Source organism: Homo sapiens, chromosome 11 (assembly GCF_000001405.40).
Source record: "Homo sapiens chromosome 11, GRCh38.p14 Primary Assembly".
Classification (NCBI taxonomy): Eukaryota; Metazoa; Chordata; class Mammalia; order Primates; family Hominidae; genus Homo; species Homo sapiens.
In genome coordinates this window covers 68,676,574-68,702,455 of record NC_000011.10, presented here as the reverse complement: position 1 = coordinate 68,702,455, position 25,882 = coordinate 68,676,574, and the positions used below count along the sequence as shown (strand labels likewise).

General features: G+C 50.1%; 1 protein-coding gene and 1 long non-coding RNA gene across 2 annotated transcripts, besides 4 other annotated features; one reads left to right on the top strand and one right to left on the bottom strand.

The window, feature by feature from the left end:
- Positions 7,203–7,704: an enhancer, noted in NCBI's record as "NANOG hESC enhancer chr11:68462220-68462721 (GRCh37/hg19 assembly coordinates)". NCBI's record gives its function as "activates a minimal SCP1, AML or CMV promoter by ChIP-STARR-seq in naive H9 embryonic stem cells {active_cell/tissue: H9 hESC(naive)}" and the evidence as "EXISTENCE:reporter gene assay evidence [ECO:0000049][PMID:30033119]".
- Positions 9,961–10,255: an enhancer, noted in NCBI's record as "tiled region #1260; HepG2 Activating non-DNase unmatched - State 23:Low, and K562 Activating non-DNase unmatched - State 18:Pol2". NCBI's record gives its function as "activates a minimal TATA promoter and a strong SV40 promoter by Sharpr-MPRA in HepG2 cells, with weaker activation in K562 cells {active_cell/tissue: HepG2 | K562}" and the evidence as "EXISTENCE:reporter gene assay evidence [ECO:0000049][PMID:27701403]".
- GAL (galanin and GMAP prepropeptide) lies at positions 11,281–17,912 on the bottom strand. Its single transcript, NM_015973.5, has 6 exons — positions 17,724–17,912; positions 17,452–17,532; positions 16,808–16,862; positions 14,356–14,442; positions 13,530–13,607; positions 11,281–11,539 (listed from the first exon to the last, which is right to left on the bottom strand). The coding sequence occupies exons 2-6, from the start codon at positions 17,530–17,532 to the stop codon at positions 11,469–11,471; spliced, it is 372 nt and encodes a 123-aa protein (NP_057057.2). The 5' UTR covers positions 17,724–17,912; the 3' UTR covers positions 11,281–11,468.
- LOC107984343 (uncharacterized) lies at positions 13,598–25,549 on the top strand. Its single transcript, XR_001748281.1, has 3 exons — positions 13,598–13,664; positions 14,453–14,615; positions 25,466–25,549. It is a non-coding gene; the product is annotated as an uncharacterized LOC107984343 (long non-coding RNA).
- Positions 17,166–17,841: an enhancer, noted in NCBI's record as "H3K27ac hESC enhancer chr11:68452083-68452758 (GRCh37/hg19 assembly coordinates)". NCBI's record gives its function as "activates a minimal SCP1, AML or CMV promoter by ChIP-STARR-seq in primed H9 embryonic stem cells {active_cell/tissue: H9 hESC(primed)}" and the evidence as "EXISTENCE:reporter gene assay evidence [ECO:0000049][PMID:30033119]".
- Positions 18,518–19,193: an enhancer, noted in NCBI's record as "H3K27ac-H3K4me1 hESC enhancer chr11:68450731-68451406 (GRCh37/hg19 assembly coordinates)". NCBI's record gives its function as "activates a minimal SCP1, AML or CMV promoter by ChIP-STARR-seq in naive H9 embryonic stem cells {active_cell/tissue: H9 hESC(naive)}" and the evidence as "EXISTENCE:reporter gene assay evidence [ECO:0000049][PMID:30033119]".
- Positions 25,550–25,882: the final 333 nt, after the last annotated feature.

Sequence of the window (25,882 nt, the reverse complement as noted above, 5' to 3'; positions counted from 1 at the left end):
TGGTATTGCTTTTGTTCCTTTGTCAGATATCAGTTGGCTCTATTTGTATGAGTCTGGGCCCTCTATTCTGTTCCATTGATCTATTTTTCTATTCTTTTACTAACACCACACCATCTTGATTACTGTAGCTTTATAGTAGCCTTCCAACTTTGTTCTTTTCTTTCCATTTTTTTTTTTTTGGCTATTCTGGGTCTTTAGGCTCTCCACATAAACTTTAGAATCAGGTTTTTTGTTTGTTTGTTTGTTTGTTTGTTGTTTTTGAGACAAGATCTCACTATGTTGTCCAAGTTGGAGTGCAGTGGCATGTGATCATAGCTCATTGCAGCATTGACCTCCCAGACTCAACTGATCCTCCTGCCTCAGCCTCCTGAGCAGCTGGGACCACAGGTGTACATCACCATGCCTGGCTAATTTTTTTTATTATTTATAGAGACAAGGTCTCACTATGTTGCCCAGGGTGGTCTCAAACTCCTGGGCTCAAGCGATCCTCCTGCCTTGGCCTCACAGAGTGCTGGGATTATAGGCATGAGCCACCATGCCTGGCCCAGGAATCAGTTTTTTGCTATCCACAAAATAACTTGCCAGAATTGTTATTGGAATTGTGTTGAATTTATACATCAGATTTGGAAGAACTAATATTTGACAATATTGAGTCTTCCTATCCACAAGCATGGAATATTTCTCCATTTATTTAGCTCTGTATTTATTTCTTTCATCAGAGTTATATAGTTTTCCTCATATAGGTTTTGGTAAATGCATGCCTAAGTATTACATTTTTGGGAGGTGCTAACGTAAGTGGTATTGCATTTTTAATTTCAAATTTTACTTGTTCATTGCTGGTATATAGGAAAGCTATTGACTTTTGTTTATTAACCTTGTATCCTGCAACTTTGCTATAATTGCTTATTAATTCCAGGACATTTGTTGTTGTTGTTGATGATACTTTTAGAGTTCTACATAGATGATCATGACGTCTGCAAACAAAGCTTTATTTATTCCTTCCCAATCTGTAAACTTCGTATATCCTTTTCTTATCTTATTGCATTAACTAGGCATTCCAGTACAATGTTTAAAAGAGTGATGAGAGGGGACATCTTTGGCTTCTTTTCTCACTATTAATTATGATATTAGCTGTAGGTTTTCAGTAGGTGTTCTTTACCATGTTGACAAAATTCGCCTCTATTTCTAGTTCTTATTAGGAATGGGTGTTAGACTTTGTAAAATGCTATTTCTGTGTGCATTGATATAATTAATGGATCTTTCTTCTTTAGCTTGTTGATTTGATTAATTACATCAATTGATTTTTGAATGTTAAACCAGCTTTGCATACCTGTGATAAATTCCACTTACTCATGGCATATAATTTTCTTTACACATTGTTGGATTTAACTTGCTAGTATTTTGTTGAGGATTTTTGCTTGTATGTTCATGAGAGATATTGGTCTATAGTTTTCTTTTAATGTCTTTGTCTGGTTTGGGTATTAGAGTTATGCTGGCCTCATAGAATGAGTCAGGAAATATTCCCTTCAGTTCTATCTTCTGGAAGAGATTATAGAGAATTTAAAACAATTTATTTCCTAAATGTTTGCTAGAATTCAACAATGAACACATCAGGGCTTCCAAAAATATTTTAACTTGTTTCTTTAAAAATTAAAGTTTTCCTTTTGCGATAACTATAGATTCACATGCAGTTTTTGTTTGTTTGTTTGTTTGTTTGTTTGTTTGTTTGTTTTTGTGACTGAGTCTCACTCTTTCACCCAGGCTGGAGTGCAGTGGCACTATCTCGGCTCACTGCAAGCTCCGCCTCCCGGGTTCACACCTTTCTCCTGCCTCAGCCTCCAGAGTAGCTGGGACTACAGGCGCCCGCCACCAAACCCGGCTAAATTTTTATATTTTTAGTAGAGACGGGGTTTCACTGTGTTAGCCAGGATGGTCTCCATCTCCCAACCTCGTGATCCGCCTGCCTCAGCCTCCCAAAGTGCTGGGATTACAGGTGTGAGACACCGCACCCAGCCCACATGCAGTTTTAAGAAATAATAGAGAGAGACCGGGAACAGTGGCTCACGCCTGTAATCCCAACACTTTGGGAGGCCGAGGCTGGTGGATCACGAGATCAGATCGAGACCATTCTGGCTAACACGGTGAAACTCTGTCTCTACTGAAAATACAAAAACAAAATTAGCCGGGCGTGGTGGCGGGTGCCTGTAGTCCCAGCTACTGGGGAGGCTGAGGCAGGAGAATGGTGTGAACCCGGGAGGCAGAGCTTGCAGTGAGCTGAGATCGTACCACTGCACTCCAGCCTCGGCGTCAGAGTGAGACTCCATCTCAAAAAAAAAAGAAGAAGAAGAAAGAAAGAAGGAAGGAAGGAAGGAAAGAAGGAAGGAAGGAAGAAAGAAAGAAGAAATGATACAGAGAAATGCAATGTACCCTTTATCCAGTTTTCCTAATGATAATAACATCTTACAAATCTATAGGACAATATCACAACCAGGATAGCGACATTGATACTGTCAAGAGACAGAACATTTCTGTCACCTCAAAGGTCTCTCAAGTTCAAGTTGCCCGCACACGTTTTCCTACCATCCCCATCACCTCCCTAGCCCCTGGTAACCACTAATCTCTTCTCCATTTCTGTAATATTGTCATCTCAAGAATGTTGGATACATGGAATTATATAGTATGTAACTTTTGGGAACTTTTTTTTTAAAGACAGAGTCTTGCTGTCTCGCCCAGGCTGAAGTACAGTTGTGTGATCATAGCTCACTGTAACCTTGAACTCCAGGGCTGAAGAGATCCTCCTCTGCCTTAGCCTCCCAAGTAGCTAAGACTACAGGCACTGCACCACCATGCTTGGCTAATTATTTTTATGTTTTATTTTTTGTAGAGACAAGGTCTTGCTACATTGTCCGGGCTGGTCTTGAACTCCTGGCCTCAAGAAATCCTCCCACCTCAGCTTCTCAAAGTGCTGAGATTACAGGCATGAACCACCACTCTCAGCCTGTTTTTTGTTTTTTCCCTTTTTTCCATTCAGCATAATTCTCTGGAGACTCATCCAAGTTGCTATGTGTTTCAACAACTCATTTCTGGCTGGGTGTGGCAGCTCACACCTGTAATCCCATGGCTTCAAGGGGCCAAGTCAGGAGCCTGGGCAACTGAGTAAGACCTTTTCTCTAAAAAAATAAAAAATAAAAATAAAATAAATAAACAAAAAACCACACAATTTATTCTTTTTTATTGCTGAGTAGTAGTCCATGGCGTAGATGTACCACAGTTTAACCATTTACCCATTGAAGGACATATGGGTGGTTTCTAGTTTGGGGCTATGATGAATAAAGTTACTATGAACATTTGTGTACAGGCTTACGTGTAAAGCTAAGTCTTCATTCTTTGTAATAAATACCCAGGAGTGCAATTGGTGGGTTGTGTGGTAGTTGCATATTTATTTTTATTTTTAAAATTTAATTGTTTTGAAATTTGTGTGGGTGCATAGTGGGTATATATATTTACGGGGTCCTTGAGATGTTTGGATACAGGCATGCAGTGTGAAATCAGCACGTCCTGGGTTATGGGGTATCCATCCTGCAAACATTCTTTGAGTTACAAAAAATCCAGTTACACTTGTTAACTCATTTTTAAATGTACAATTAGGTTATTATCATCTATAGTCACCTTACTGTGCTATCAAATAGTAGGTCTTATTCATTCTTTCTATTTTTGGTACCCATTAACCAAGTTGTATATTTAGTTTTTAAAGAAACTGCCAAAATGTTTTCCAAACGCACTGTACCATTTTGCATTTCCACAAGCGGTACGTGAGCAACACATTTTCTCTGCATTTTTGCCAGCATTTAATGCTGTCACTGTTTTTTCTTTTAGTCATTCCGATAGGTGGTTAGCAACACCTCATTGTGGATTTAATGTGCATTTCCCTAATGACCAATGATGTTAACATGATTTCATGTGCTTATTTTCCATGTATATCTCCTCTTTGGTGAAATATCTGTTTATGCATTTGCCCATTTTTAATTTGACTTATTTTTCTTTTTTTTTTTCTCTTTACGGTTGAATTTTCAGAGTTGTTTTTTTGTTTTGTTTTGTTTGTTTGTTTTTTTTGAGACAGAGTCTTGCTCTGTTGCCCAGACTGGAGTGTAGTGATGCGATCTCGACTCACTGCAACCTCCACCTCCTGGGTTCAAGCAATTGTCCTGCCTCAGCCTCCGGAGCAGCTGGCATTACAGGTGCCCACGACCACACCTGGCTAATTTTTGTATTTTTATTGGAGAAGTCTAATATATCTTTATATATAACTTTCATGGATCATGCTTTTGGTGTCAAGTCTGAGAACTCTTTATTTGCCATAGATCCTAAGGATTTTCTAAAAGTTTATAGTTTTACATTTTGCATTTAAATCTATCATCCATTTTGAGTTAATTTTAAGAATAAGGTGTGAAGCCAGGTGCAGTGTTGCATGGCTATAGTTCCAGCTACTCAGGAGGCTGAGGCAGAAGGATTCCTTGAGCCTAGGGGTTTGAGTCCAGCCTGGGGTTTGAGTCCAGCCTGGGCAACATAGTGAGATCCCATCTCTAAAATTAAAAAAACAATGTATGAGGTTTAGGTCACAATTCTTCTTCAACTTTGATTTTATTTTTTGCCTATAGATACTCAATTGCTTCAGCACCATTTGTTGAAAAGGCTATCCTTTCTTCATTGATTTCTTTCACGCCATTGTCAAAAACCGATGGATGTATTTGGGTGGGTTTATTTCTGGATTCTCTGTTCTGTTGATCTATGTATCTATACACACAGTCTTGATTACTGTAGCTTTTAACTCAGGTAGACTCTTCATTATTTTTCTTTTGCAAAACGTTGCTTTAGCTGTTCTACTTTCTTTGCCTCTCCATATAAATTTTAGAATAAGCTGGCCAGGTGCGGTGACTCATGCCTGTAATGCAGCACTTTGGGAGGCCAAGTCGGGCAGATCATGAGGTCAGGAGATCAAGACCATCCTGGTTAACACGGTGAAACCCTGTCTCTACTAAAACCACAAAAAATTAGCCAGGCGTGGTGGTGGGCGCCTGTGGTCCCAGCTGCTCAGGAGGCTGAGGCAGGAGAATGGCATGAACCCAGGAGGCCGAGCTTGCAGTGAGCCGAGATTGCACCACTGCACTCCAGCCTGGGAGACAGAGCGAGACTCTGTCTCAAAAAAAAAAAAAATTTTAGAATAAGCTTATCTATTTCTTCAAAAAATCTTGCTGGGATTTGATAGGAATTGTGTTAAACTTGTATATGAACTTGGAGAAAACTGACATATTTACTGTGTTGAGTCTTTCAATCCATGAACATGAACATGAACATGGTATGTCTCTACATTTATTTAAAACTCCTTTGGTTTCTTTCATCAGTGTTGTATAGTTTTTAGTATATAATGATAACATGTTTTATTATATTTACATATTTACACATACTTTTTTTTTTTTTTTTTGAGATAGTGTTGCTCTGTTGCCCAGGCTGGAGTACAATGGTGAGATCTGTAATCCCAGCTACCCATTAGGCTGAGTCAGGAGAGTTACTTGAACCTCAGTGGTGGAGGTTGCAGGAAGCCAAGATCACACCAGTGCACTCCAGCCTGGGCAGCAGAGCAAGACTCTGTCTCAAAACAAAAAACACACAAACAAACAAAACCAAGTTCACAGGTTCTTTCCTCTGCCCTCTACATTCTGCTATTTAGTCCATCCACTGGAATTTCTATTTCAATTATTGTATTTTTTAGTTCTAAAAGTTCCATTTGGTTCTTCTTTCCAATTTCTGTTTCTTTGCTGAAACTTTGTATTTTTACTGTTTAAAGTATGTTTGAAATAGTTTGTTGAAGCATTTCTTTTTTATGATGTCTGCTTTAAAATCTTTGTCAGATAACTCTAATACTCACTATGTCAGTGTTGACATCTATTGATGGTCTTTTATCAGTTTGAGATCTTCTGGATTCTTGGTATGATAAGTGATCTTTGAAACCTGGACTCTTAGGGTGCTATGGTATGAAACTCTGGATTTTATTTGAACCTTCTCTTTTAGCTGGCTTGTTCTGATATTGCCCTGGAGGGGAAAGGCTGGGGGTGCCACCTCATTACTGCCAGGTGGGGACAGAAGTCCAGGCTTCCCACTCAGTCTCCACTGACACCTGGGCATGGGTGGGCTGCTCCTCATTATGGCTGGGCAGGAGTGGGAGTTCCAGCTCCCCACTAATACCTCCCTTGCTGGGAGGGGTAGGAGCGCTTTCTTACTGCACCCCTCTGCATGGTCTCTGCTAACACCACAGGAGAAGGGGGTGGCCTTGTCACACTGGGAGGCGGTAAAAGTGCTGATTCTCCACTAACCTTCCTCTGACACCACCCCAATGCATGGAGAGAAGTATGCCTATTACTGTGTGGGAGGAGGGACACAGAATCCAGGCTCCCAGGTGGTCTCTGCTGACACTGTATAGGGGGTCTTGTTACTGCCAGGGATGGGGTGGTTGTGGGGGATGAAGTCCTGGTTCTTTACTTGGCACCCTACAACTTTCCCCTGGTTGGGGTTTGGGCCACCTTGTCACAGCCTTATGAGTAAGTCTAGGCTCCCCACCTAGCCTTGGCTGGCCTGGTGAAGCCACAGTGTTTGCTGGGGTGTTTGTCTGGAGTAGAGTGGTCATTATCTACAATTCTCTGTCTTACCAGGCTTCCCTTTCCTGGTCCTTTATCTAGAGAGGGCAGCTTTTGTTGGGGCCTTCGTGGTCTGTGCCTGTTGGCATTTCTAGGATGCTGGCTCCTTCAGCCCAAGTCTAAGATATGTGAGGCAAAAAGAAAACCCAGGGAACTCACCACGGGCTGAAGTTCCTAGCTGGTCTGCCTATTGCTTGGGCTTTCAGAGTCTTCTTATGTTTGCTTTATATATGATGTTCAGGATTTTTAATTGTACTTAGCAAAAGGACAAAGGAAAATTCTACCTCTACTCCATCTCCTGGAAGCAGAAATCACTGGATCTTTTTTTTTTTAAAGTTATATCAGAGACTGTCAAGCTTTCTGGTTTCTAGAGCCTTCTTAGTTTTTATCATGATAACACAGGATAAAATCTTGTAAACCAAAAAGTATCAAGACAGATCTCAATCAAGGTAGAGGTTTATTTTGCCAAGTTAAGGACCATGGCTCGTGACACAGCCTCAGGAGGTCCTAAGAATATATACCCAAGGTGGTTGAGTTACAGCTTGGTTTTATACGTTCTATGGAGACAGAAGTTACAGGCAAAGACATAAATCAATACATGTAAGGTATACATTGGTTTGGCCCAGAAAGGTGGAACATCTCAATGAGTGGGGTAGGGTGGGTGCTTGTAGGTTATAGGTGGATTCAAAGGTTTCCTGATTGGCAATTGGTTGAAAGAGTTAAGCCCTTCTGAAGAGTTGAAGTTAACTTGAATTAAGGGAAGGTAGATGGAGGTGGGAGGGGGTGGTTGTGGAAGGCAAGGTTCTTGTTATGTAGATGAAGCCTCCAGGTAGCAGGCTCCAGAGAGAATAGACATTCAGGTGAATGTCTCTTACCAGACCTTAGAAAGGTGTCAGACTAGGAAGGAGATTCTCTATAGAACGCAAATTTCCCCCACAAGAGTCAGCTTTGCAGGGCCATTTCAGAATATGTCAAAGAAATATATGTGGGGCTAAAATACTTTCATTTCCTTCAGGGCTTGTTATTTGTCATGTGATGCTATACCAGAGTCAGGCTGGAATTTGGTATCTTATTGCTAAAAAGAGGCTGATTTGTCAGTCTCAAGATCTCTGTTGTAATGTGAATGCTGGTCCCTGGTCAGCTGTGTCTAAACTCCATGGGGAAGAGGCATAATGAGCATGTCTGGCCCCTCCCTTCCCGTCATGACCTAATTTTTGAGGCTTCTTTGGGGTCTCCTTGGCCAAGAGAGGGATCCATTCAGTTGGTTAGGCGGCTTAGAATTTTATTGGAGGCTTACAATCCTGACTCCAAAATGTACAAGAATCCCCTTTTTTTTTGCATTGAAATAAAAGTTTCCTGGGCCCTATGTTAGAAAATGATCAGCTGTAAATTCTTTACATCTTTGGCGTTAGGGTTTCCTTATCCCTGTAAGACTCTCTCTTCCCTCCTGTTTTCTTTTTTAATTAAAAAAAAATTTTAATTACTTCTTTTTATACGGACAGGGTCTCACCATGTTGCCCAGGCTGGTCTCCCAAAGTGCTGGGATTACAGGCATGAGACACCACACCCCGCGTCTCTTTCTTCCTCTTAAACAAAGCACTTTTCCTCCTTCCTCCAGGGACCTCCTGAGCCCAGGCCTCTTCCTCAGACTGGCCCACTGCTCACCCACCTCCACCATGCCAGGCGCCCTCAGGCAGCATCACCCTGGCGTCTGCTCTGCTCCTGGTTAGATAGAGCAAGTAGGAGGTGGACGGGCTTTCATGCTGATCAGCTTTTATGATGGAGACAGCCACCTCCTCCAAGGTGCACAACCTCAACACTCTCCACCTCTCCATTAGGCATCTTGGTGTTTCTCAGGCCTGTCCGTAAATTCTTCGCTTCCCGAGGTGGCTGGAGAACACCTTCCCTTGAAAAGACTGCTGTTGTTAGCAACAGATTGATCCAGGATGGCTGCGGCCAGCTCCAACCACGTTCTCTCTGGGAAGTAAAGACATCACCTCTGTAGCCTTGTCCATCACAGCAAATGGCACCACAGCCGCTCCTGGCCCCTCACTTCCTTTCCCTCACCTTCTGGCTGCCACCTGCCACACTCCGTTTATACCTAAAAGGAAGGCAAGGTTTAGACAAGGAGGTAGATGATGCCACAGGGGGAGAGTCCGACACCTTTGTGCTGCTGACCCTGGGGCCCGCACCCCTGCACAGAAGTCCCACACCTGCACGGAGGCTGCACACCTGCATGGAGGCCGCACCCCTGCACAGAGGCCGCACACCTGCATGGAGGCTGGGCTCCTTGGCCCTTTTTGAACACTGCTCAGGAGGCTCGTGCGAGCCATGTGCAGTGCGGAGAGCCCAGCACTCAGCACAGCGTCATTAATCTCGGGTCCTTCAGGTACTTCTTTCTCATGGTGTAGTGAGGAGAGACACATCTGCAAACAATCAGAGTGACAGGCATGCTGATTAGGGTGGCACCGCACATGCTGGGGCGGAGGAACGGGAAGGGCACTCTGGATAAGGTGACCCTGGAGCGGAATCCTGTGGGCTGCTTAGGAGTTCCCCAGGCCTTGGGAGGGACACATGCAAAGGCCTTAGGTCAGCGAGGCAGGGCCGCAGTTGTGGGGTCTGCAGGACTGAGTGCAGGAGGCTGGGGGGCGGGCTGAGGCAGAGGTGGTGTCCATGGCCACTGGATCTGGGGGCAAAGGCTACAGGAAGACCAGACAGGACAGGCTGCACACCGTGGGGCTGGAGCCCAGTGGCCGAGGTGTGGTCCCCAGACACACCCACTCATCTGCCTCCTCCATGCCAGGAGCTCCCTAGGCCTTGGGAGGGACATGTGCACAGGCCTCCAGTGAGCAGCAGCAGCGGCAGGAAAGCTTGCTGGGGGCCCAGCTCCACCAGCTCCAGCCCACCCAGCCCTCTTGGCTCCAACACCCTGGGGAGGGGCCTAGCCACTGCCTCCTGACAAGGCCTCGGGGAGTTCTGGTGCCTGCCCAAGTTGGAGAACTAGAGATTTTAAAAAACATGGAAGAGTGTAATCCCAGCACTTTGGGAGGCCGAGGCGGGCTGATCATGAGATCAGGAGATCGAGACCATCCTGGTTAACGTGGTGAAACCCTGTCTTTACTAAAAATACAAAAGAAAATTAGCCGGGCATGGTGGCAGGCGCCTGTAGTCCCAGCTACTCGGGAGGCTGAGGCAGGAGAATGGCGTGAACCCAGGAGGTGGAGGTTGCAGTGAGCCGAGATCGCACCACTGCACTCCAGCCTGGGCAACAAAGTGAGACTCCATCTCAAAACAAAACAAAACAAAAAGTGGAAAAGGATAAATGCGGATGGTGAACAGGAAGTGAGAAGGTGGGCCCAGGTGTTTAGCCCACCAGGTGGATGACGTCACTACCTCCGGGCTGGGAGTGGTCTGAAGCGCCGGCGACCCAAGGCCACCAAGCGTGAGCGTGGAGCCTGCAGGAGAGGGAGGCAGCCAGGGTGGAGCTGGGGCACAGCTGACTGGTGGTGGAGGGGGGGGTCACCGAGCAGGGAGAGGGATGCCAGGGCTCTGTGCCCCTTGAAACAGGTCTTAGGCAGCAAACTGCCAATGGGGGGAAACTGGGAAACCACCTCCCACTCCCACCGCACAGCCAGCTCTGGTGAAACCAAAAAGGCCTGTGTACCACCTCCCACGTTGACAGAAATGTCCGGCTTTTCCCCCTCGCCTACCTTCTTTTTTTTTTTTTTTTTTTTTTTTTTGAGACGGAGTCTCGCTCTGTCGCCAAGGCTAGAGTGTGATCTTGGCTCACCGCAATCTCCATCTCCCAGGAGCAAATGATTCTCCAACCTCAGCCTCCCAAGTAGCTTGGATTACAAGCGTGCACCACCATGCCCGGCTGATTTTTGTATTTTTAGTAGAGATGGGGTTTCACTATGTTAGCCAAGCTGGTCACAAACTCCTGACCTCAAGTGATCCGCCCACCTCGGCCTCCCAAAGTGCTGGGATTACAGGCATGAGCCACCGCGACAGGTCGCCTGCCTTCTTTTCGAAACTTCTGGGATGATCTTTTTATCTCTGCTCAAAAGACTCAGTCTCTGTCACGTTAAGAGATATTCCCACAGGCCTTCCTTCACACAGCACCATCCCTGCACACACCTCCTGCCCTTGCCTTTCTACCTGCCCGCCCATCTCTCCTCTCCTGCCTTGCTCCTGGCCCTCCCACCTGGCCAACACGTCTGTTCTCAGCACTGACCACCTCCATGAGTACCACGCAACTCACCCATCTGTTTAAGGTTGTTGTAGTCTTTTTCATTCCCATCTCCCTAAAATATCAGCTCCACGAGGGCAGGGGTTTTGTCTGTTTTGTGTTTTTGTTCATCTCAGTAACAGACTTACCTTCATAATTACATTTGACTCAGCTTAATATGGAGATAAATTTATGTCCCCTGGACATGCAATAACAGGTGGTGTCTCAGATGCTCTTGACGGTAGAATTTGGGTTTAAAATTCATGTCTAATCCACGATTATGATCAAGCTTTATCTTTTAAAACCCATGGGTGGCGCTGGTGATGAGACAGAGGTGTGGAAGAAAAAGACAATTGCAAGTAATTGCTATTCTTTATTTTGCCACTCAAAATAATTACCAAAAAAAAAAAATCTTAAATGATAACAACACAACATCAAGGCAAAGAGAACAGGAATGGCTGACTCTGCATAAATTGGCCGAAGATTATCCATTATCTTAAGGTTTGACTTCAGGTTACAGCACACAGACAAACATGCCCAGGAGGCTCTCAGGACCGCTCGATGTCTTCTGAGGAGGCTGCGGCGGGGAGATCCAGGAGGCGGTCGAGGGCACCGGCCTCTGCAAAGGGAAGAGCCACATCTGAGCAGCAACTTCTTAATATGCACATGAGAGAATTACAACCACGACACATGCTACAGGAAGCGGCGTGTGGTCGTCCTCTGTAAAGATTCTTACCAGATTAAACCCAGAATCAGGGACAACACTCTGTATTCCTCACTTCGTAATGATTTAACTCCCACAGTTAGTAAGCATTTAAAACTGTCAGACTTTTAAATTCAGGCTTTAAAGAGGTATAATTCCTAGCTGAGTAATGAGAGCTGGTATATCCTAAGGAAAGAGTTTCCATGTTACAAAATTAAAAACAAATGAAAAACAAAAATCTAGCAGAGTCCCTCTGCCCCTTGTAGGAAAAGTCACCCCAGCTTTTCTCCCAGAGGCTCCACTGGGCTCCAACAGAGGGAACTTGGTGACTCGGTTTTGAGATTTCTAATGAACACCGCCTTTTCCAAGACCTTCTCTGGCAGTCTCCTTCCCCCGCTCCCCTCCCCTCACTCCTCTTCCCTCTCCCCATCGCCACCTAAAGTGCAGCCCGATAACACTGCAAATGAAAAACATCCTGATCCAAAATGAACCCAAGGATTAGCCTTGATTTTTCAAAACTGGACAAAACTGTGATGTGCAACTGAAGGTCTCCACTGGAGAGGCTAACGGTCCATCCCTCCTCCCCACCACCAGCTCCCTGTTAACTCTCAGAGCAGCAGGTGAAGGTCTTCTCCACTGGAGAGGCTAAGTGGTCCATCCCTCCTCCCCTCCACCACCTCCCCCTTAACTCTCAGAGCACCAGGTGAAGGTCTTCTCTGCTGGAGAGGCAAAGCGGTCTATCCCTCCTCCCCACCACTGCCTCCCCCTTAACTCTCAGAGCACCAGGTGAAGGTCTTCTCTGCTGGAGAGGCAAAGCGGTCCATCCCTCCTCCCCACCACCACCTCCCTGTTAACCCTCAGAGCACCGGGGCCGCTTTCCGGCTCCCTCCACTGCTGCAGTAGGACCTGTGTGGTTATCTGATCAAGGCCAGATGCCCATCGTAGAATGAATGCCAAGCGTAGTGTGCGGAGGTCTCCTCATCCCCAGTGTTTGCAGAAGACACTGGAAGCCAGGATCAGAGCCTTTCCAGTTAGATTTCAAGGCAGCCTGCCTGGCAGGAAGGCTGCATAGAGAAACACTGCAGTCTAAGATATGGGCTTCTATTAATTTCCCATGCTTAGAAAATATGGTTTAGGGCCAGGCACAGTGGCTCACGCCTGTAATCCCAGCACTTTGGGAGACTGAGGCAGACAGGTCACTTGAGGCCAGGAGTTCAAGATGAGCCTGGCCAACATGATGAACCCCAGCCTCTACTAAAAATACAAAAATTAGCCAGGCATAATTGTGCGCACCTGTTTTCCCAGCTACCTGGGAAGAAGAGGCACGAGAATCACTTGAGCCCAGGAGGCAGAGGCTGCAGTGAGCTGAGATTGCACCACTACATTCGAGCCTGGGCGACAGAGTGAGATGAAGGAAGGAAGGAAGAAAGAGAGAGAGAAAGAGGGAGGAAGAAAAAGGAAGGAAGGAAGAGAAAGAAGAAAGAAAGAAAAGAGAGAAGAGAAAGAAAAGACAGAGAAAAAAGAAAAGAGAAAAGGTTTAGGACGGTTCACAAAGAACTTGGCCTGTAGTATACCTCTGCCCTAAAAGGTACAGCAGTTGTCACCGTGTGAATAGATATGGTTCCAGTAGAATGAGCTGCACCCTGAGGCCCACTCTCTTCCTGGGACCAGCGCTGGCCCGATGGCCCTCCACGACGGTAGAATGCCCCTGCCGCAATCCCAGCCCTCTGGAGCTAGCTCTAGTGTTACATTCTCTGTTATCCCGACACACAGCCAAACAGGACTTTGTACGTAGATAAGTAATCGGCTACTTCCCAGGGGGATTCTATGGGTTCTCTTCTCGATGGGCCTTTTACGTTTCCAGTGTACTAAGAGATGAATGTTAAGTTGATGATATTTCACATACCTTTGAGATGCAAGAAAGACAGAAACTCAATGATTGTGCGCATGATATTGTTTTCAGGTATGGACCTGTCAAAGCTTCCTAGAAGAGAAAAGATCAACATTCACGACTTGTGCAGAGGGTGCTTCAGTGTCTCAGGTCATCCCCCTCCCTACAGAGGAGCTGGGCGCTGCAAGGTCAATGATCTGATCCCAGCAGCCTGAGGCCCTGCTGTGCTTTCCAAGGCCCTTGTTCAATGTGAGGGAGTTGGGGAGATATCCAGTTCGAGGCCTCGCTTTTCTTCTTCTTCTTCTTTTTAATTGAGATGGAGTCTCACTCTGTTGCCTAGGCTGGAATGCAGTGTCATGATCTTGGCTCACTGCAACCTCCGCCTCCCAGGTTCAAGTGATTCTCGAGCCTCTGCCTCCCAAGTAGCTGGGATGACAGGCACCCACCACCACGCCTGGCTAATTTTTATATTTTTGGTAGAGACAGGGTTTTGCCATGTTGGCCAGGCTGGTCTTGAACTCCAGACCTCAGGTGATCCACCCGCATCAGCCTCCCAGAGTGCTGGGATTACAGGCAGGAGCCATCGTGCCCAGTCCCGCTCTTCTGGAGGCCCTGGTGCCTGGGCAGCCTCCCAGCCTAGAAGGACCCCTTGCTGTCTCGGGTTTGCACGTTCTGTTTGCAGCTGCTGACAGGTGTGGCGAGGCCACATCGTCTTAGTCAAGTCATGGCCAGGCTTGGGCTGCAGCTGTGGACAGCCCCGACACCCACAGCTGTCCCCTGCATGCACCTGGGAGCTGGTGGAAGTGAGGTGCCCCGGGGCCCGGGATAGGAGTCCTCTCACCTGGTTTCATGTCATCTTCGGGCCGCAGCTCCCGCTTGCTGGTGAGGCCATTCTTGTCGCTGAATGACCTGTGGTTGCCAACGGCATCTGTTTGCAGATCAGAGAGGAAAGCCTCTGGGTGTGACTGTCATGCACGCCCTCCCCACACCCAAAGAAGGACACAGGGCTGCCTGTAGCCAACACACACACGCAACTCGACTGTGAAATAGAGCCCAGGGACAGACACCAGAGCAGAGGGAGCGATTCTCCACCCAGCTGAGGTAAGAGCTTGGCCGCTCACACCAGGGTCAAAGGGAATGTGAGGGTTTGCACAGGGTGGGTGGGAGAAAGGGAGGTGTGGCTCCTGAAGTGGGGGAGAGGCCCAGAACCTGCCCTGTTGCAGGGGTTGCGCCTGGGTCCAGAGGAGCTGGCATCTGAGCTGGCACTGAGCTGGCATCAAACTGGGTGACTCCCTGGCAGACAACAGGAGCTGGGTCCTCATGTCCCTGAAAGCATGGGGGACGCTGAAGAGTTTAAGTTGTGACTGAATCTGATTTTTATTTTCACTCTGGCAGCTGTGTGCAAGATGGACTGGAGCCAGAGAGAGAGAAGGAGAGAGACAGAGGGAGCGAGAGGGTCACAGAGGGAGACAGGATGGGGGTGGGGGGTGCAGGAGCGTGTGTGCGTTCCCGTGTGTGTGTGGGTGTGTTTCGTGGTGCGAAAATGGAGGAACTGTGATTGCAAGCACAGAGATCCCAGAATTCCAGGGAAGAAACGATGAAGGCTGTAAACCAAGAGGCGTGGGGTGAAGAGGAGGGCTGGATTTGGGGCTGTGCAGGAAAGGAAATGGAAATGAGAGATGGGGACGAGGGTGAGGACGCCTCTGTGTTTCCAGCTGGTTGGCCTGGGTGGACTGTGCCATCTACAAGGCCAGACAAAGGAGAATTAACGCGTATTTCCAGAGATGCCGTTCTTGGTGCTAAATTTATAGAGGAATCATAGGTCGCCTCATGTCACTGATGCACCCTCAGCCACGGCCACACTGCGTTCAGCAGCAGCTGGTGCAAAAACATTGCTTTTGCTGCATTTCTAGCAGATCCTAGAAATCAAAGGCACATTTTTAAGTATTTTGACAAACAACTCGTCTAGCTACAGCTGAACAGGGCCGTAAAATTGATGGCGAAAATGAGTTTGTTTTCTAATTAGGGGTCAAACTCTTCTTGACAAATAGATTTTCAATATTCCAAAGCAACACAGATAAATGTTCTCATTGACCAGTTCTGCCTTTGTTTTGGGCCCGTAGCACACAAAGATGAGGTGCCCTCTGAGTGGCAGAGCTCAGGGTTGCAAAGGGTTGAGGAAATCAGCCGACCCTCAGGCAGGTCAGGCCACTCCATGGGCAGGGAGAGGATGAGAGGGCCGCACAGAGACCAGCAGGCTCTGTGGTGAACAGCCTGGACCGATCCGCACGCGGCCTCAGGCGGCTCTGTCATCCCCGTGTCTGTTTCTTAAAGCCTGACTCTGGGGGTCCTCTGAGTGACCCCGATAAACAAGCGTCTGCAGGAGGAGGAAGCTGTATTCGACTCTGGGACTGAGAACTAAGTCAGCTTTCCTTGGCATGGGGAGAAGAGCACCATTCTCCCCATTTGCTGCTCCGCGGGGCTCAGATAGGCCCTGCGTGCTGTTCACATCCTTCCTCTGGCAGAAGGCAGTACAGGGAGGCTTTTAAGGTGGATGGTGAGGTGTGGAGGGGAAGGTGAGTTACAGGAGGGAACCAAGGCCTCCTCTTGTCCCCTCCTTTGGAGGAAAGTCAGAAGGCATTGCTGCACAGACCAAGGATGTGGAGAAAGTAGAGGCCTGGGACAGGGGCGGGGGCGGACACGGGGAGGTGTCAGCCTGCAGTGTCCCATCTAGGGCTAGGGCTCACCTCAGGCAGCAGGGGACACCGCTGACACAGGTGACAACAACAGGACAGGGAGAGGGAGGGGACACAGGCTTGGGCAGGCAGGGTCACCTGAACCTTGTTTTGAGGGGAGCCTGTCTGGGCTGCCTTCAGGCGATCTGGCAATTCCCGTGTGGAGCTTGGAGAAAGGGAAGAGGGAGGCAGGATTTGGGGTCCGCTGACCTAGGGTGCTCTGCAAGCCGAGGAGTTGAGTGTTTTGGGAGACCCGGGGGCCTGGGGAGAGGCCCAGAACAGGGCCTGTAAGGACTGCAAGGCGGGAAAGCCCAGGAGAACTTGAGCAAAGCCCAGGGTGGGAATCTCACCCCGGGACAGGGCGGCAGAGCCGGGGCAGGAGAAGCTTCTGGAAAGAACCGTACACAGATCAAGTGTGCAGAGCAATGGAGACGGGCAATGAGGTCAAGAGGGAGGCCAGAGGGTCTGCCCAGCCGCAGGCGGAGGGGCAGGAGCCAGGGTTCAAAGCGAGGGGCAGGTGGGGTCAGGAGTGGGGAGGCCATGCTGTCAGTCACTTACGTGGGCCCAGCAGGTAGCCCGCGCTGTTCAGGGTCCAGCCTCGTTTTTCCTTGGCCTTGAAGGGAGAAAAGGGGATCAGATGCCAGGGCTGTGCCTGGAGCCTATGCTGAATGGGTGCACCCAGGCTTTCCCGGCATGGCAGAGGACTTAGAACAATGCATGTGCTTTTGGATAGCTCGCGAAATTCCAGGTTTACCCCTAAGTCGGCTATATTTGACATGAAAATGGAACCACTTTATTTACGAAATACTTCACTTGAGGGCCTGAGCCCGCGCACTCTCAGCGCACTGCACCTGCTTTAGTGACGCTGAGGCCACGCCAGTGGCTCCTAGCCCTCCATTCTAACTAAGCCCTGCGGAACGGGCGAGCTTCTCGCTTTCCCGAGGCGCTGACCCGAAGCGCAGAGCTCTCCCGGCGGCCTGGTTATAGCCCGGGGCTGTTGATACACTCGGAGAAGCGCGCGGGGGGAATCCCAGGGAGCCCCGGACCCTTCCCGCGACGCCCGCAGCCAGGACAGCGCCCGCCTTTCCACTTTCCACCCCCATCCCCGCGGGCAGGGCGGAGGCTGCCTCCTCCAGGAAGCCCTCCACGCCCGGCCGGCTCTGATGTCCCCTTCGCTCGGAGGAGACGCGCCCCGCACTTACCGGCGACCAGAGCCCCGCAGAGGCAGAAAGGGCCGCGGCGAGGAGGAGGGAGGCGAGCAGGAGGGCGCTGCCTCGGGCCATCTGGAAGGGAAGGACAGGGCGGGCGGGTCGGAACCCGGAGTGGGCTGCGCCCCGAGGCAAGGAGTGCCGGGGCTGCGGGGAGGAGCAGAGGCGGCGGCCGGGCCAGGGCCCTGGCAGAACCGTCCCTGGGCAGAGGAAAGCCGAAGGGGAGGCCTCCCGGGGGCGCAGGGTCGGCCCGGCGCCAGTAGTACCTTGAGCTGCGGCTGCGCCCGGGTTCGGAGCGTCGGGGTCCGGGTGCGGTGGCGGGTCTGGGCGGCAGGTCCGGGCGTCGGGCCGGGTCGGGTGGGCTCTGGCGGCCTGGGGCGCTCACCGCATGGCGCGGCCGGCAGCAGGGGCAGAAGGCGCGGGCCGGGTCCCTCCACGTGTCCGCCGCCCGGTGTGGCCGCCGCCACCGCCGCCGCTGCTATATATGCGGCGCACCCGGGAGCCGCCCGGAGTCGCGTCACCGGCTCAGCGCCCGCCTCCTGCACCCTCGCCGAGCCCCGAGGGCGACGGGAGTGACCCGAGCTCGGGTCCTCTGGGCCATCATAGGCGGGTGCGGCGGAGAGCCCCCCCTCATCCCGCGGGAGAGACTCCCCCAAATCTGCAGAGAGAACCCCAAACCCTGTGGGAGAGACCCTAATCCCGAAAGACAGAGCCCAATCGCCCCGCGGGAGAGCCCCCAGACCCGTGGCCCAAGTCATCGCTGTGGCGTCAACCCCACTGCTCCCCCCGGGGTCCCAGCCCCAGAGCAAGCCTGACCCCCCACAACGTCCCACGCCTGCGGTCTCCCTGCAGCTTCTCCTCCCAGCCCCTACCGCTGCAAAAGCCAGCTGAGCTCCGCAGCACTGGAGACCCCAGAGGGTGACGGGCAGGGACGACTCCTCAGTCCGAGCCAGCCCCAGCTGGGAGGTCATGGGGTACCCGGGGAATGGCGGGCAACACTTGGCCCTGCGCCCTGGCCGGCTTGTGCTGGGGCTGGAGCGAAGGTTCAGGCCTCGGGAGCCGTCGATGGCGGGGAGGGCAGGCGTTCCCGGCTCCCTGTGCCCAGCGACCTCCCTCCTGTTTCACTAAAGGGGGGCTGTGGATCTCAGGGTCTGCTTGGCCATCCCATTGTGGGAGCTGCGGGACCGTCGAGCATCCACAGGCACCAGCTCAGAAGCTCGGCCTCTCAGTGCCTCCCCTGGCTGCCTGGTCCAGTTGTAAGAGGGAGCTTTAAGCAGGTCCAGCCATTGGGCAACTGGTTAGGTCCAGAGGGAGAGCAGCCCAGACTCCCAGAGGCCGCCAAGGGGTGGGCGGTGGGCAGAGCAGCAGCAAGAGGCTGTCCTTGTGCCCAAGGCAAAGACATCCCACAGGAACAAGGCCCTCCTTGGCTCCTCCACAAACCCTTCCTGAGCTGGGGCCAAGTCCCGAAACAACCCAGGAGAGAACCCAAGCCTAGGCTGTTCCTTCACCCCATTCCCAGGCATCAGGGGAGCACAGGATCCCAGGCATCACACTTGTACAGTGTGGCACCTCCGGGCTTCCGAAGAGCACGGGGTCATCTGCTGAAAACTCGCCTGACCTCCCCTCCCACTGGCCAGACACCACCCAAGTCCTCAACAGCAGCAGCTGGGTTAGGATCTCCCCACCCACTGGGCTCAATATCAGATGGGTTGATGTCACATCTGTGGGTTGATGTCCACAGGGCACAGGACGAATGATGATCATGACAGTGTCATCTTACCTGTCCTCTACACTTTAGTCTTGGGAACCTTTGCACAGACAGCTACAGGCTGCCCCCAGGAGAGATCCGTCTGCCTCCACGTGGCTGGGGAAGGACAACTGGGCTTTCAAGAACTCTGGCGAAGGCCAGCGGCTGCTGGAGAAGGTGCAGGGCTGCAGCCTGGTGGCTGAGTGTCTGCTGTGGTTTATGGGAGGAAGAGGAGGAGACAGGACTTGGGGAGGGGTCTTAGGAACAGACTCCTGGCACGACAGTGGTGAGGGGTGGGGTGTTCCCAAGGGCACAGTTTGACTTCTGGTCATCCCTATTTCTTGCAGCCTGGGGAGAGGAGAGTCAGGCACAGGGGACCCTAACTAGGACTCACAGGCTGATTTCGGAGCCCACAGTAAACCCTGAAGTGGTTTCCTGCCGGGAGTGGGGGCGTGGGAGACAGTGAGTCGCCATGAGAGTCTGGGCCAGCCGTGGGCAGAAGGACAGCCGAGAGGCGGAGGAGCAGAGGGCACGTTCCTGTGACTCTGCAGAGAAGTGACAATGATGTCCTCTCATGCCCCATGTCCTTGTGTCTAGATGACATCAGGGAGTGGGCAGGGGCTGGGCTCATGGGTGCCTCTTGGCTACCTGAGAAATACTGCAACCTTTGGCCCCCGGTGGTAGTGGGAGCCCTGCTACCATCCCAGAGCTCTTTCTTGCTTTCTGCTGAGAACAAATCCAGCCCAGTGCATAGCACATCTTAGTCAATTCCAGCCTTCTCCTTTCTTCCACGTTAGGCCCCCTTCCAAATCCTGCCAGAGCTTGACTACACTTATTTTCTCTATTTACTTTGTCACAGAGGCTCTTAGTCTGTTTAAAGGAGCACAAACTCTAAACCTAAATCCTTGAGATGGATTCGAAAAGAGACTCAAAGTCCATCCCTTAGTCATGGGCTGGAATTTGAGGTACATTAAACTTTCAGCTGTCTTCATTTGGGCCTATGTACTCTTTTTGTTTCCTTTTTTGCTTTCAAAGAAACTTCAGACTGGGCGCAGTGGCTCACGCTTGTAATCCCAGCATTTTGGGAGGCTGAGGTGAGTAGATAGATCACTTGAGCCCTGGAGTCCAAGACCAGCTGGGGCAACATAGCAAGGCCTCATCTCTACTAAAAATAAATAAATAAATATTTTTTAAAAATCAGCCAAGCATGATGGCACGTGCCTGTAGTCCCAGCTACTCAGCTCAGGAGGCTGAGGTGGGAGGATCACCTGAGCCCAGGAGGTTGAGGCTACAGTGAGCCACGATCAAGCCTGCACTCCAGCATAGGCAACAGAGCAAGTCTCTGTCAAGAAAGAAAGAAGGAGGGAGGGAGGGAGAGAGAGAGAGAGAGAGAGAGAAGGGAAGAAGAAGAAAGAAGAAGAAGAAGGAGGAGGACGAGGAGGAGAAGGAGAAGAAGAAAAGAGAAGGAAGGAAAGTGAGGAAAGAGAAAGGAAAAAAAGAAAAATAAATTTCAGGCCGGGTGCGGTGGCTCATGCCTGTAATCCCAGCACTTTGGGAGGCCAAGGCGGGTGGATCACAAGGTCAGGAGATCGAGACCATCCTGGCTAACATGGTGAAACCCCGTCTCTACCAAAAATACAAAAAATTAGCCGGGAGTGGTGGCAGGCGCCTGTGGTCCCAGCTATTTGGGAGGCTGAGGCAGGAGAATGGCGTGAACCCAGGAGGCGGAGCTTGCAGTGAGCCTAGATCGTGCCACTGCACTCCAGCCTGGGTGACAGAGCGAGACTCCGTCTCGAAAAACAAAAAACAAAAAACAAACGAAAAAGAAATTTCAGGGTAGGTTATCTGGTCAGAGCCTCCTTATTAAAAAGACATTAAGCAACTGGAAACAAATCTTCACATGTATTTTGAATTCATTTAAGAAAGCTCCATTGAATAATTAGACACATGTATTCAAAATAAACATGCCCATGCCTGATTCCTCCAGGTCCCTAAGTTCTTTTTCCACGTGGGATGACACCCACCGTCTTGCTTCCCGCTTAGTCTGGGTGAGTGGGTCTCGGTATAAACCCTGGCTGGGACCCTGGCCCGGAAGTGCGGTGACCATGGGAAGGCTACAGACAAGCAAGGCAGTGGCCTGAAGGCGTGCTGGGGTTTCCTGAGGTCGGCAGATTCCTTCAGACAAATGAGGCCAGCACACCTGGGATGACAGACACCTGCCTCCCGGCACAGACTGTGCTGGAACCACAGCCAGTGTGCTAATGGCTCTTTGCTCAGTAATGACCCAATGGCAGTCATTGTCAACCTGTCATCTTGAAGACAGCCCAGTGTGCAGCAGACAAAGTGGGTCACCATTAGAGTAATCGAAATCAAGCAGAAAGCCTGATGTCCCCCGCTGCCTTCGAGCCAGCCCATCTTCCTTAGAAGCGCTGTCCACCACCAGGAAAAACCACCCTGAAGCTGAGAACTCAAGCAAGGGTCAAGGGTCACCTGGGCCATGCCCACTGCACGGGAGCTCAACCGTCCATTGCCTGGCAGTGGAGCTGCAGTGGTGAAATCAGCAGCAGGGTCCCTGCCCTTGCGGAGTTAGACCCTCACGGAGACCCATTACAGTTGGCCCCTCTGTATCTGTGAGTTCCCTGGCTGTGGGTTCAACCCACTATGGACTGGGTCCTTGTAGGTAGGCCTAGGATGGGTTTCTCTGTACGAATACGTACAGACTTTTTTCCTTGTCATTATTTCCTAAACAATACGGTATAACAACTATTCATGTAGCATTTACATTATACTCAGTATTATAAGTAATCTAGAGATGATTTAAAGCATGTGGGAGGGCCATCGCGGTGGCTTATGCCTGTAATCACAACACTTTGGGAGGCCGAGGCGGGCAGATCACTTGAGGTCAGGAGTTCGAGACCAGCCTGGCCAACATGCCAAAACCCTCTCTCTACTACATATACAAAAACTCAGCCAGATGTGGTGGCGGACATCTGTAATCCCAGCTACTCGGGACGCTGAGGCAGGAGAATCACTTGTACAACTGAACCCGGGAGGCAGAGGTTGCAGTGAGCCGAAACGGCGCCACTGCACTCCAGCATCTGGGTGACAGAGTGAGACTTCATCTCAAAAATAAAAAAGTTAAATTAAAAATAAAGCATATGGGAAGATGTGCGTAGGTTATATGCAAATACTATGCCATTTTATATAAGGGACTTGAGCATCCACGGATTTCGGTATTTGCGTGGCCAGGGGTTTCCTGGAACCAACCCACTGTGGACATGGAGGGCCAACTGTATGCAACAAATGGTTATTGTACAAATAACCACCCCATTGTCGTGGGAAGGAGATGCATGGATTAGGGGAGCTGAACCTGACAGGTGAGCAGGACTGACTGGGTACAGAATGAGGTCCAGCACACTCCAGGTGGAGGGGGTTACATGGGTACGCCCCCTTTTTGGTCCTTTTCCATTCCTTCTTCCTGCTGCCTGGAGTGTGGACGTGAAGGCTGGAGGTGGGCAACGAATTTGGACCATGAGGTGATGGCTTCAGGTGACACATCAAGGCCGAGGGAGCCTGGGTCCCAGTGACCCTGAGCCTGGTCCCTGGGCTGCACACTTCCAGGCTTGTTTCACAACAGAGGAGAAGAAGCATCTCTCTTATTTAAGCCAATGGCCCATAGAGGTTTTCCATCACGTGCGGTAGGAATTGTTCCAATCAGTTTCACAGTGGTCAACAAATGTTTGATGAATGAATGAATGAATGAATAAAAACACGTGAGAGGGTACACCACCTCCACCGCTGCTGAGAAGCTCATGTCTGCAAGACGGGCTCATCAGAGGGAGAGGTTTGGACGATAACGTGACGAACGATACCACCTATCAGTCCCACGACCATCTCGTTACTACTCAAGAAATGAGGAAATGGCTCGATGACCTAAAATTGGCATTTCTTTGACCCTGCAAATGTCTGTGTCCTTGATTCCCCCATTCCCTGATTTCCACGCCACCCAGCCCCACTCCAGTAACACAGCAGTCATGAAAAAAGACCCTAGAGTCGCTCCCCTAAAAAAATGAGTAGCTGGCAAAGGATCTGGCTAAGGTGAAAGTTGTATCAATGGATAGAATTATACCATTCTATGAATGAGTTTTTAATATATGTATTCGATTATTCGACAGAACCTTGTTAAATGGGTTCATTATACAGGGTTGTTTCATTCACAGAAACAATTGGGTGCTTTTACTAAGGGGTTAAGGTAGTAGAAATTGGAGTTTCGAGTGCAAGCTGAGAAGGGAGAAGAGGAGGAAGAGCAAGTTTTGGAGGTTTGAGGACATTGGGTAACAGAATGCCATCTTTAAAGCAGCCTTCTGGAAGATTCTTTCTGCATGCATCTTGCTGGCCAGAGTCATGCCCGGCCACAACAGAGGCTTGGAAACAGGTTGGAAACAGGGTCTTTTATTATGGATGATGTTGAGCTCACTTGAGTTCTGGAGCTGAAGGAGGAGGGGGACATGGAATGTTGGTGTGGGCCAGTACAGGCTCTGCCACAGGCAGGGCCCTAAGTCCATGTGTTTTCGTAGTTGTAAATTTTTTGTGAAATGTGAAAGCAAGCCATAATCACAGCCAGTTAAGACCTGTCTCTCGACACATCACTTCCTCAGTTTCCCCTCAGACAATGTGGTGCTGGAAAGGCCACAGGCACTTCTAGGCTCTTTAAGGGGAAGTTAGATTGGGGATGCATTTAGTTCTGGATCATGGTGGGTGTATTTATAGCCACCTATATATATATAGGATGTATTGATCTCACTTGCATAGGATGGCTGAGTTGCCGCTCGCCGTCTGCTGTGGGAATAGTTCTAGGAGTGCCCCGCTGCCCAAGCACCCGCTCCCCTAGCACTGGAACACGAGCTGTGTGGCTGGCACGCATGCTGCAGCGTTGGTGGCACAGCCCTCGTGGAAAGCTGTCGTCTCCCAGGGAGATGGGCTTGAGACAAGCCTGGGGTCACTAGGATAATTTGGAGAGCTGCATCTTTGAAAAGTGTTTAGTCAGCTTTTTATTAGTGGACACATTCTACCAGCGTCTTGGGAGCCACGGTGGCTTCTCAGGAAGCCCCTGCAACCTCCCACCCCAGACGCAGTTCCACGCAAGCTCAACTCTCCCCTCCAATTCCAGGGTGAGTGGAGGGGGGATGTCGCTTTTGATGTCTTGCTTTGCTCAGCTCACAAGTCCTGGGCTCTTTAGCTGGAGCCATCCTTGTCTGCAGTGTGGCACTCTCTCCTCCCTAAACCCACCACCTGCATCTTCTTTCTCCAACAGACCACCCCCGGCCCGCTCCTTCACTGCCCTGGGCTCTGTGCCAGGGAAGCCTCTCCTTCCCAGCCCCCAGCCCCGCCCCCCACCATGTAGCCTCCCCTCCTGCTCCTTGGTGAACTCATCCCATGGGAGATGAGCTTCCTCAGGGACCTCCTTGCTGGTCAGAGGCAGGGTCACAGCCGGGAGTCCGTGAATCCACCTGTGCCCTGGGTGACTCATCCAGCTGGGGGTTTTCTGGGTAGCTCAGCCTGGAGGAAGAGGGGCTGCTAATGGCCTTGCCAGAGGCTGACGCCTGCAGTTGGGAGGGGTGGGGGCGGGAAGTAGGTGACTCAGCGACAGGCCCTGGACAGCTGCCCCTGTTTCCTGGCCCTGAGTCAGGCCCATCAGCAGCACCCAGGGCCATATGGGAACCCGTCTGGCTACCAGGATGTGGGTGTGCAGGAGGAGGACAGGCAGCTGGGGGGCCACAAGGAGGGGCAGTGGGAAGAGAGAGGGGTGCTTCCACCTGGAGGCCTGAGCTGTGCAGGAAAAGCTCTGACCTGCTTCTCAGGGACCCAACATATTTTTTTTTTTTTTTTTTTTTTTGAGACAGAGTCTTGCTCTGTTGCCCAGGCTGGAGTGCAGTGGCACAACCTCGACTCACTGCAACCTCCGCCTCCCAGGCTCAAGCAATTCTCCTGCCTCAGCCTCCGGAGTCACTGGGATTACAGGCACCCGCCACCACACCCAGCTAATTTTTGCGTTTTTAGTAGAGACAGGTCTTGAACTCCTGACCTCAGGTGATCCACCCACCTCAGCCTCCCAAAGTGCTGGGATTATAGGCATAAGCCACTGCGTCTGGCCCCAAAATACTTTAGAGGACTAAAAAGTGATGAGTATTTACCTTCTGGAAATACTGCACCCGTTTACAGCCTCTTAGAATCTAAGTGCCTCTTTCCCCAAATCCCCAGCTGGATGCTAGCAAACGTTTAACATTTTCACCAGTCTGACGAGCGAGACTGTTGTCATCGGCTTGGGCTGCCATAGCAGAGTACCACACACCAGGCAGCTTGACCAACAGAAATGCATCATCTCACAGTTCTGGAGGCTGGAAGTCCAAGATCAAGGTGTCGGCAGAGTGGTTTGCTTCTGAGGGCTGTCAGGGGAAATCTGTTCTATTTGCCTGTTCTGGACATTTCGTATAAATGCAATCATAAAATCTATGGCCTTTTGGGTCTGGCTTCTTTCACTCAGCATGTTTTGAGGTTCACCCATACTGTAGCATGAATATTTCATTCCTTTTCATGGCTGAGTTATATTCTGTTATATGGATAGACTACTTTGCTTTTTGTTTTTTGTTTTTTGTGTTTTTTTTTGAGACGAAGTTT